At 47.1% G+C, this 11,455-nt stretch overlaps 1 protein-coding gene across 3 annotated transcripts; it reads left to right on the top strand.

The window, feature by feature from the left end:
* The first annotated feature begins 50 nt into the window (after positions 1-50).
* On the top strand, positions 51-11,285 carry TMEM171 (transmembrane protein 171). 3 transcript variants are annotated; one of them, NM_173490.8, is made up of 4 exons: positions 51-172; positions 2,782-3,489; positions 7,866-8,007; positions 11,014-11,285. In NM_173490.8, the coding sequence occupies exons 2-4, from the start codon at positions 2,850-2,852 to the stop codon at positions 11,204-11,206; spliced, it is 975 nt and encodes a 324-aa protein (NP_775761.4). In that variant the 5' UTR covers positions 51-172; positions 2,782-2,849; the 3' UTR covers positions 11,207-11,285. The 3 variants fall into 3 exon arrangements, with proteins under 3 accessions (NP_775761.4, NP_001154814.1, XP_011541458.1); NM_001161342.3 differs by having other exon boundaries at positions 11,017-11,285; XM_011543156.2 differs by having other exon boundaries at positions 7,923-8,007.
* The last annotated feature ends 170 nt before the right edge of the window (positions 11,286-11,455 follow it).

The following is an 11,455-nucleotide window of genomic DNA, read 5'->3' on the forward strand; positions in this document are numbered from 1 at the left end:
GCGCAGCACCGCCTCCTTCTCTAAATACTGCCGGGTCCGCCCTCCGCACCAGGACGCGCGGTGGGTAGGGTGCAGGGCGGCCGGCGCAGCCGAGGCCGCGTGCGGAGGCGGACGCCGCGCCCAGCCAGTGCCCACAGCAGCGCGGTCAGCCAGGCGCCGGACCCAGCTTCAGGTAAGCTGCCCCGGCCCGCGCGCCTGCGCCGGCGGCGGCGGGTCGGGCGCTGAGCTGTGCGGCCAGGCTGGGCGCGGGGAGCCGCGGCAGCGCGGAGGCGCTGGGTATCCGAGCCCAACCTGCGTCCCTGCGAGCCCCTCCGGCTGTTGCTTGCGCTCGGGCTCCCTAAAAGCCGCAAACCGATTTCGCACAGAAGGCATTTGCCTCTCGTTTCGTTCCCCAAACGCACCATAGCTTTGGACGTGGAGAGGTGCTGTGAATTTTGGAAATGTCTTTTGGAAAACCAATAGGAGTGTTGGAGAGGGGAGTTTGGCTTTGGGGAGTTTAAGTGTAGGGTGGTGTTTGGAAAAGGTTTCATTGCGAGTGAATGTGGGTGTCTTTGTATCCGTTTGTGAGTGCATCTGTGGGAGAAGGAGAGAGAGAGAGTATTTCCACACTATTATGGATCAGAGGTGAACACTCAGCCAGGTGCTCCGTCCACTAGTCCACGGACAAGAAACTACAGATTCAGTTTTGGGCTTCTATTTACTGGTGTTTGGGAATTTGCCTTAAGACAGTTGAAGCCTTGTGACTCACTGCAAAGTTGACTATACTGGGAATAAATGAATTCCTGATAGGACTTTGCAGCCGAGAATCACCCTTCTCTTTCTTGTCTCCGAAACCGCAAAAGAGATTGCATGATTCAGGAAAAAAATTAAAACAACAACAATAACAAAAAACCAATATATATAGGTTTCAGGACTCTCCATCGTTTCATTCCACTGAGAGTTTTGGAATGTACTCCCTGTAGGATAAATGAGGACTACTGTATACTCAATATGAAATTCTTATTCACTGCAGGATGTTACTGACTTAATAAAAAATGGGAAGATTAAAAAATTAGTGCAATGCTTTGTCTCAGCTTAACTGCATCTGTATATCAAGTTTTTCCAAGTTTGAAATGAAAGCTTTTTTCCCTCCTATATTTCCTTTTTTTCTCCAACTTCCTTCTGATTCTATCATACTTTTTCCTGGAAAAGTTTTTCCCAGTGTAAGATTGCCTGTTTGCTTTCTTTACCTAAACTGACCTTCCCTCAGTGTGATTTTGGTTTGTCAAGATCATCTTGGGCTTAGGGCCTCAGTCTTGAGTTCCTTCATGGGACCATGGATGTGAGCGGCACAAAATATTTTAAAAGTTTTCTTTCCTTGGGCAGGTGAAAATAGTCTTCACGATTTTGGATTGTCTTTGCAATTGCAGGACCTGACTTACGGGGTCCTGGTAAAATATCCCATTCATTGGAGTAAAATAAGATAACGAGATAATTAGGTCAGCTCTGTGTAAGCTAGACAACTCTTTAACAACCACTTGGCATATTTAATATATTATACCCCTGAAGTACAGGGCTTGGGTGATTTTCTGGAAGGTGCTTTCTCACTTGATTCCACTTATACTATTCTTTCAAAGCCAAGTTCCCCCCTTCCACCCATTTTGTGCTTTATAACTAGCAGTTTTATTGGCTGCTTGTTTTTTAACTGAGTCTCAACCTCTTTGTGGAAGTAGGTGACACCATGGAGGAGGGTGAGTGAGAGGCCACACCAGCCTTTGGGTACCTGTCCACTCTGAAAATTGAGCTCCTGTTGACCTGCTGTGCAACACTTTCCAGGGTCATCCCAGATCCAAGCAACTGGGTCACCAGTCTGTGCTTGTTGAGAACCCAAGAACCATTTTGTTTTGTTTTGTTTTGTTTTTGGCAGGGTCTCACTCTGTTGCCCAGGCTGGAGAGTAGTGGCGTGATCTTGGCTCACTGCAACCTCCAGCTCCTGGGCTCAAGCAATCCTCCCACCTCAGCCTACCAAGTAGCTGGGACCACAGGCACCATGCCTGGCTAAAGTTTGTATTTTTAGCAGAGATGGGGTTTTGCTATGTCACCCAGGCTGGTCTCGAACTCCTGAGCTCAAGCAATCTGCCTGCCTCTGCCTCCCAAAGTGCTGGGATTACAGGCGCAAGCCACCACGCCTGGCCTCAAGAACCACATTTTGATAGAATCAACTTAAAAGTCCACCAAACCCACTGTGTTCCTGAACAGACTTCTTATTCTATTGAAATTGCTGAAATTGGGTCTTTTGTAGATGTAGCCTTAGAATAAAACATGAAATGGAAAGCTGCTGTAGTCTAAAACAGGAAATGGAAAGTTAGTTACTGAACTGACTTGAAAATGCTGAGAGCAGCTATGATGAAAAGTGGGGCATTTGCAATCAGAAAGAATCCCTGTGGTTCTTCCCTCATTCACCAGTGCTTTTTTCCCCAGGGAAATGAGTTTGTAAGACTCAGAAAAGGAAATGCCACACCCAGCTACTTTTGTTCTTTCAGTTTTTAAAAAAGATACCCTTAGATGTGTAGTAATTTAATTTCCTGTTTTGAATATCTTGTAAAATTACATATTTAGGAGTTTCTGAATGCTAGTTTATCTGACTCATAAACCAACTCATTGTTCTACAGCTTATCAGTTGTATAAAGTTCTACCCCCAAGGCCTCATTGTGGTGTGATTTCAGAAATGATCAGCAAAAAACCAGGGTGGTTCTGGAACACCTGTGCCCACGTTAATTTGGTGTTTGGTTGTGTTTGCAGAGCTGCTGAAATCTTGGAGGGAAGAAAACACATCCCACCCTGCCTCCGGGAAGGGGCCTCTCCTGGACATGTCTCCTGCAGCTGCTGCTGAGCCAGATGGGGACCAGCAGGACAGACACGTCAGCAAACTCATCTTCTGCTTCTTTGTCTTCGGCGCCGTCTTGTTGTGTGTGGGAGTCCTGCTCTCCATCTTTGGGTTCCAGGCATGCCAATATAAGCCCCTCCCAGACTGCCCCATGGTGCTCAAGGTGGCGGGGCCTGCATGTGCCGTGGTTGGGCTTGGGGCTGTGATCCTGGCCCGCTCCCGGGCGCAACTTCAGCTCCGTGCAGGGCTGCAGAGAGGTCAGCAGATGGACCCCGACCGAGCCTTCATCTGTGGAGAGAGCCGCCAGTTTGCCCAGTGCCTTATCTTTGGGTTTCTGTTCTTGACAAGCGGCATGCTCATCAGCGTCCTGGGCATTTGGGTCCCTGGATGTGGCTCCAACTGGGCGCAGGAACCGCTAAACGAGACAGACACTGGCGACTCAGAGCCCCGGATGTGTGGGTTCCTTTCTCTGCAGATCATGGGGCCCTTGATTGTGCTTGTGGGATTGTGTTTCTTCGTGGTTGCCCATGTTAAGAAGAGAAACACGCTGAATGCTGGCCAGGATGCCTCTGAGAGAGAAGAGGGACAGATCCAGATTATGGAGCCTGTCCAGGTCACTGTAGGTGGGTTGCTGTTATTTGCGTTCTTGCTTCTATCACAGTGGCTTTGCAGCAGGGTTTCACCAGCTGCTCTTGGTTCTCGTCTGGATTCTCTTTCTCAATTCTTCCATCTCTCACACATGTGTGTGCACACGCACACACCCCCATCATGTGTACATACACAATGGTGCTGCTGTGGGAAGCCCCGTAGGAACCTTGTATACATCTTTTCCCCCCCAGCAACTCTTTCCTACTTTGCAAAGCATTGGGATATTAAGTAGTGACCTTGACTGAGGTCACAGAGCAAATTAAGAGGAAAGTGAGAAGAACCATGAGGACAGCCTTGGAGCCTTCTGCCACCTTAGGGACTCACTAAGTGACCCTGTTACCCCTGTTATTCTCACACCAAAACCACATAGCATTTTAGTTGTGGGACACTTGGTTTCTCCTCCCAGGCTGTCACTAGCTGGCTGTCCTTGTAAGTCCTTAACCTCTCCTGCCTTGGTTTATGTCTCTATAAAATGAGCAGTGCCTCTCTAAGATTCCTGCAGCACTAACATTCTAGGATTCTGGATCTGTCTGAGTCCAGCAGTCTCCAGGTGTTTTGAGGGGCCTCTGCACTGTCTCTGTGTTGTCCTTCTTTTTTTGTGACATCATCCGTGGCTGCAGGGCTGAGGCAAAGCTTGGAAGCAGCGGGATGAACCAAGATGGAATATGACAGCACCTTTCTCCCGTGGAATGCCTACAAGTTCCTTTTGGGTCCCCCGGGTTCTACAGAAGAGATGGAGTGCCATTTCCCAGAGCCTGCCCCCTCAGAACAATAGCAGTAGCGTTGGCCTCAGCTTCACACAACCAAGGAAAAACCCCATCGCTGTTCATTGGCAGATCACTTTTTTTCAGTCTCCTACTTTTGAAAGAGTAAAGTTGTGAAACCACTGACATTTAAAAGGCTAGGAAAAGAGATCTTCAGAACAGAAACCATGGAGAGGACAGAGAGGGAATGTGACAAGTGAGATGCATCTCCTGTTTGGGGCTGTCTACTGGAAGCAGTGGAATTCACTGACTGCAGCCTGGAGGGGAGGAACTGGGTTGCTGGACTTGCATGGCACCAGCCTTGGAGAGGAGGGGCAGATGGATCTGCAGCCATTCCTTGTGTAGAGCCAGGGTAGATGCTCCCAGCTTATTTATTAATATATTTATGCATTAATATATTTATGGTGACAACACAAATATTAGTTATATATTCACAATAGCTAACACTTATATAGGGTCTATTTTTGTGCCAAACACCCATTTAAGTGCTTTATCATGTGCTCTTAAAGGTCCCCTGTGTGAAATTCATTCACACCTACAGCAATCCAAGGGGGCAGATAACGTTAGTACCTCCATGTTACACAGGAAGAAGATGAGGCATGTAGATATCAAGTGACTTGCCTAAGGTCACACCCTAGCAAGTGGTAGAGCAAGGTTCCAACCCAAGTGTCTGGGCACACCCACAGAATAGCCCTTGCATAGCACCCTGCCCAGGGCACGTGGGTGTGATTCCATTTTATCCTTCACCAAGTGTTCCTGGAAGTTATTACATGAAAAAAGGGGCTCCCTTTAATTTGATAGATGTTCTTAGTGTTCTTGAGGAACACCGTGGGGTACAAGTAAATATGTTCATCCAACGCTGCTATGCTTTCATCTAGTTGGGAACGGTTCGAGGGGAGTTTTGGGGCCCAGCCTTCCACCTGGTAGCTGGAATCAGAGTGGACAGAGCTGTGGTGCTGCTCCTGGTGTCCTTGTCCTGAAGTTGGCACTGCATGGTTTAAAATCTTTTCTACTTAACTCTTTAAGTCCCCATCAAACCTATGAAAATCTTGCATCCTAATTCCTCTCCTTTGATATTGTGGAATAGGGTTTACATTTTTAGAATCCAAGAAGCATGCTCTCCTTGTTGTGGGTACACTCAGTGCTATCCTGGATACACAGCAGGTATATGAGACAGCTCTCCTTGGAGGGGTGTATATGTTGTCTGCTCACAGAGGACATCAAGTTCTGAAAGACGCATGAAAGGGAACTCGCAGAGGAGAGGCCTCTTTCCAGGGAGAGCAGGTTGCAGGGTGTGGGCAGGCGGAGCTGCTGGGCCAAAGGGCTGGAGACCCTTGGAGGTAACAGGGTTACTGGAGCATATCCTTGTGTGTTTTTGAGAGGTGATTGGCCTGCCCTCAAGGGTTACTTCACAGGTTCTTTATTCTACAGTGTGTAATGGAAGTGAACACAACCCCAATTCCTCTAACCTACCAAGACCTTCTAAAAAAGTAAATGAGAATCTCAGGACCGCTATTATGCTTTCTCACCTTTAGATTAGCAAAACGTATTTTAAACTCTCATTGCCTTCTCCTTGGAGAAGGAAGGGGAGATGGAATTAATGCATTTTCTGAAGGGCTAAATTCCCTCTGGGAAATGATTGAGGCTGCTGTGGCTCATGAAGGGTAGAGAGTGGAGCCAGTGGCCAATTGCCTCTGTGGTGTTTCTTCATCATGCAAATCAGTGCCCTCGGCTGGTGTTGAGCTGAGAGAGTTGGCTCTGTGCTCCGCACTGTGTTCACTGCCAGATGCAAATCAGTCCATCTAGTCCTTCCTTCTATCTGTCCTGTGATGCAAGAACTGCCTGGCCTGCAGTTTACAGCTGTGGCGGCTGAGGTCAAGGAGGTCGCCTAGCTTGTTCAGGTTGGAACCCCCATCACTTTAAAGAATCCTATGCCACCCTAAGCAAGCATCAGACATGCTAGGAGTGTGAACCACTACAGGGAAGTAAAGCCCCATCTTCTTCATTTTTTCTGAACTGTTATTGCTATTGCCAGCTTCTCAGAGGCTTTCACCAGGCCCCCAGCAGTGGTGCTGCCAGAGCTCTACACTGTTCTGGTCCACTTGTGTGGTGCATTTTATATTGGAATCGGAATACAAATTAGAGTTTGCATCTGGTCCCTAGTTTCTCCTCAAAACATGAGGATGTATTCTGGAGTGAACAGTAGCCACAGAAATGCAAAAACCAAACTTCTTTGGGTTCAACCTTCATCTGTATGGGTGAAATTTTGGTAAATAACAGTTAGGGGCTGTAATATGGCTTACTGTCATTTGCTCAGGGGCTGAAACTACATTTGAGGAACAAGGCACTTTAGCCAACAGCTAACTTGTGAATTAAAGTTGTAGGCTGAAAACGAGAAAAGCTTTTTCAGCAGTAGACACCCCAGAGGAGGGAAAGGAGCTTGTTAGCAAACAATTCACAAAAAGGCTTGGTCTTAGACTTGCTACAAAATATAGACCTGCTTTCATACCATAATTGTCAGCACTCTGGATTCTGAAATGTAGGCCTACTTTTAAAAAATTTGTGGTAAAAAAAAAAAAAAAATATATATATATATATATATATAAAGCATAAACAATTTAAACTGCTTTTTGTTTCGTTTTGTTTTGTTTTGAAACAGAATCTCACTCTGTCACCCAGGCTGGAGTGCAGTGGCATGATCCTGGCTCACCACAACCTCTGCCTCCCGGGTTCAAGCAATTCTCCTGCCTCAGCCTCCCGAATAGCTGGGATTACAGGCGCCTGCCACCACGCCTGCCTGATTGTTTTTTCTTTGTATTTTTAGTAGAGACAGGGTTTCGCCGTGTTGGCCAGGCTGGTCTTGAACTCCTGACCTCAAGTGATCCACCCGCTTCGGCCTTCCAAAATGCTGGGATTACAGGCGTGAGCCACCACGCCTGGCTTTTTTTTTTTTTTTAAGACAGGGTCTTGCTCTGTCACCCAGGCTGGAGTGCAGTGGTACAATCATAGTTCACTGCAGCCTAGAACTCCTGGGCTCAAGCAGTCCTCCTATCTCAGCCTTCCGAGTAGCTGGGACTGCAGGCGTGTACTCCCACATCTGGCTAAATTTTTTCTTTTAATTTTTTTGAGATGAGATAGCGCTGTGTTGCCCAGGCTGGTCTCCAACTCCTGGGCTCAAGCGATCCTTCCTCCTCAGCTTCCCGAAGTGGTGGGATTATAGGTGTGAGCCACTGCACCCAGCCAAACCGTTTTTAAATGGTTTAGTGGCATTGAATACAGTCACAATGTTGTTCAACCATTATCATCATCAATTTCTGGAACTCTTCCATTATCCCCAACAGCAACTCTGTACTCACCAAACAGCAATTCCCACTCCCTTCCTCCTCCCGAACCCCTCCTAGCCCCTGGTAACCTAGTCTACTTTTCTATCTCTATACATTTAATGGGCTTACTTTTAAATTTTGGAGTTAGCAGCAGGTGTGTTGACCTTTTATATAGATGGGCCAAATATATAATTAATTTTGCTTTTGCTAATTTGCTTCCATTTATTACCCACCTGTTGTCAACTAAATATTGTTTTGCCTTAGGTGACTCGGTAATAATATTTCCACCCCCTCCACCACCTTACTTTCCTGAATCTTCAGCTTCTGCGGTCGCTGAGAGTCCTGGAACTAACAGTCTGCTTCCGAATGAAAACCCCCCTTCATATTACAGTATTTTCAACTATGGGTAAGAATTTCAATTTGAACTTCAAGAGAGGCCTGAATTCAGGCCACACTAGTATTAAGGCTGTGTGGTTCACCAGGAGGCATTCAAGTGTGAGTATCTTTTTTGCTGATGTTATGTCAGAATTAGTGTCTTGATATTAACAGTACCTTTGCCGAAATTTGGGCAGCACATAAGTTAAAAATGATAAAGTGATCATGCTGGGTTAATATGAAGCCTACTCCAGGCATCTATCTTTATGTGCTCCTAACAGGGGTGATACTCAGAATGTTTAACAACCCTTGCCGGGTGCTGTGGCTCACACCTGTAATCCCAGCATTTTGAGAGGCCAAGGTGAGTGGATCACTTGAGCTTAGGAGTTTGAGACCAGCCTGGCCAACGTGGCAAAACCCTGTCTCTACGAAAAATAGAAGAATTAGCTGGGGATGGTGGTAGGCACCTGTAATCCTAGCTACTCGGGAGGCTGAGGCATGAGGATCGATTGAACGCAAGAGACAGAGGTTGCAGTGAGCCTGTTACCGGCGGAGGGTGTCCACGTACTTTGTGTTTTGAACAAAGAACTGGACAAAATGCACAAACGAAGCAAGGAAAGAATGAAGCAACAAAAGCAAAATTTTATTGAAAATGGAAGTACACTCCACAGGGTGGGAGCAAGCCTGAACAGCTGCTCAAGGGCCCAGTTCCAGAATCTTCTTGGGTCCAAATCACCCCTAGAGGTTTCCCATTGGCCACTTTGTGTTCACCTCATGTAAATGAAGTGGTGGCCCACAATCCGTCTGATTGGTTGCAGAAAGCAGCCAATCAGAGGCTGAAGTGAAGTTACAAAGTTGTTGTCCTATGCAAATGTCTGATTGGTTGCAAAAAGCAACCAATTAGAGGCACTTTCAATTTCCCATCTGCCGAAAGGTGGGTGTTTGCAAAGGGAGTAGTCTTTGGTCCTTTTGTTACTCAGGGGTGGAAAGTTAGGGTTTTCCTTTCAATTTAGTTCTAGGAAGTCAGCGTGAAACGGCCGTAGATTCCCTGCCTCCACACCCTATTCTTCTGCTCCAAGCCGAGATCGCGCCACTGCACTCCAGCCTGGGCAACAGAGAGAGACTCTATCTCAGGGGGAAAAAAAAGAATGTTTAATGACCCACCAATCAGACTGAGCACCAGGACTGGGCCAGGAGGCCCCTGCTATGCTAGGCTTCACTGCTTTAGATCATGGAGAGGTGTGAGGGTCTCAGGGGATCCCCAACAGTTACAGAAGGGCTTTAGTACTCTGATGGCCGTGCTTGGGTGACTGGCTAAAGTCAGCCTGAGCCCCGATCCAACACAACTGGGCCTCTCCTTCAATATTCGCTCCTTCCCTGGGCCGCAGAGAATATCAGGTCAATACCCACCCCACACAGAATGCAGCGAGGCAGGCTCTAGTGGGACGGGCCTGAGGTGCCAGGAGCCTGGGGGAGGGGGTCTGGATGGAGAATGACATTGAGGAAGAGGCGAAGATGATGAGTTCCAGGGTGAGTGACAGGGAAGCTCAGAGGTCCCCAACTGAGAAGACGTGAGTGATGAGCTTGGTTTCGGTGGGGAAAGGATGGTGGGCGGCTGATGGTGGCGGTACAGTGAGATGAGGGCCTTGGAGGCAGACTGGGAAGGGCTGGGTTTTGGGAGAGAGAGGAGGTGATGGAGATGGAGCTGCAGAGGTTGTTGGAGAACCAGAAGGGCAAAGAGTCAGGGACTAGTGGGAGACCCCCAGGAGGGGCTTGTGCATACCCCAGAAATGGTGTGCTCAGGGAGCAGGGCTGGAGAAGGCTCTGGTGGTACCTTCTAGAATGGGAAACCAGGGTTTAGGAAGGGAAGGAAGAATTGCTTCACATTGTCACAGGGTGAAGCAGGTAAGACAATGAGATATGTGCATTTTTGCATGCAGTGAGCAGCAGGCACAGAGAGACTGGTGCTCATTGCTGGGGATAGCACCACCTTACCTTGTTATTCGTGTTTAAGGAACTCCCTCTCCACCCTGCCTTGACAGAGCAGGCAGTGGGCCTTGGAGCAGGGGCCAGGGTGCCTTTTCTCTGGGGCCTGGAGGGAATGAAGTTGTGTAGAGATTCTTTTCCCACAAAAGCAGGGGGACAGGTTATCTGATGGGAGAGGGAAAGAGGTGGCTGACAAGGACAGAATTGGCTTTACAGCTTCATATGGGGTCGTGATGGGGGGATCCAGGGAGGTGCATGTGGGAACGGCCCTGCATGGAGAAAGGGCAGGCTAGGGCTGGACCTCTGTAGAATTCTCATCGTGAATGTTTGTATTTTTTTTCTTCTAATGATAAACTTCCCCAAACCCTAAAATCAGTGTCTAGTAACTTAAACTACTGCTGCTGCTACTATGATTTCTGTGTCCTAGGGTCTGGCTTTTCTTGCATTAGTTTATGTAACTCCCATATCCAGTCTAGGAGAAAGGAATGTTATCATCTTCATTTCAAGATAAGGAAACTGAGCTTTAGCAATGTTAACTAACTTGCCCAAGATCACACAGCTGGGAAGCAGCAGAGTAGATTCCAGTGCAGGTTGGCCTTTGTTAGAGCCCACTCCATTAGCCAATATGCCTTCCTGCCGTCCTTCAGGTTTGTGGCTTAATGTTTTAATTTTCCATATGCAAAAGTTTGTCTACCTTATGTTAGCTGTCCCAGAAGACAGAATAGCAGAGAACAGTAAGTGTGTGTGTGTGTGTGTGTGTGTCTATGTTCTCTTTGGATGGTGTCTGTAAATTTGTTTTCAATGTCTTTTCAATGACAAAGGGAATGACAGCAGGAGTGAGACTGTCTTAATGTTACACTCAGCTCTAGGAAAAGGAAGAGGTAAGAAATCAAAACAAATCTATGAAAAGTAGAGTGAGGGAGAAATTACTCCTCAGATTCTTGCAAATACTCTTAAGTGCATGTAATCAAACATTTGAAAAGAACCTAGTACTAAAGGGGTGTCACTGTTTTCATCCCCTCCCCTTCATGTTCTCTCTCCTTCTCTTTAGCAGGACCCCAACTTCAGAGGGTGCAGCCTCTGAAAGAGACTGTGAATCTATATATACCATTTCTGGGACGAATTCATCTTCTGAGGCCTCACACACTCCACATCTTCCATCTGAATTGCCTCCTAGATATGAAGAAAAAGAAAATGCTGCAGCTACATTCTTGCCTCTATCTTCTGAGCCTTCCCCACCGTAAACTATGGACTCTAGTTCAGTTTTATATGCAATGGATCACTATTTTATTTAATTTTTTTTAAATAAAAAATACAATAGCATTGGCTATATTCTGACTTTCCTGCTACAGCATCAACAAGGGTAACCAACCTTCCAGGTTAGATTCCAGCCATTAGTGCTTCAGACCATGGAGAGGGGCAAAGTGCCCATGGTCCAGGCACTGAACGTGTCCTCTTTGGATAGCATCTATCCATTTGTACTCAATGTCTTT

The sequence above is a fragment of the Homo sapiens genome, chromosome 5 (assembly GCF_000001405.40).
Source record: "Homo sapiens chromosome 5, GRCh38.p14 Primary Assembly".
Taxonomy (NCBI): Eukaryota; Metazoa; Chordata; class Mammalia; order Primates; family Hominidae; genus Homo; species Homo sapiens.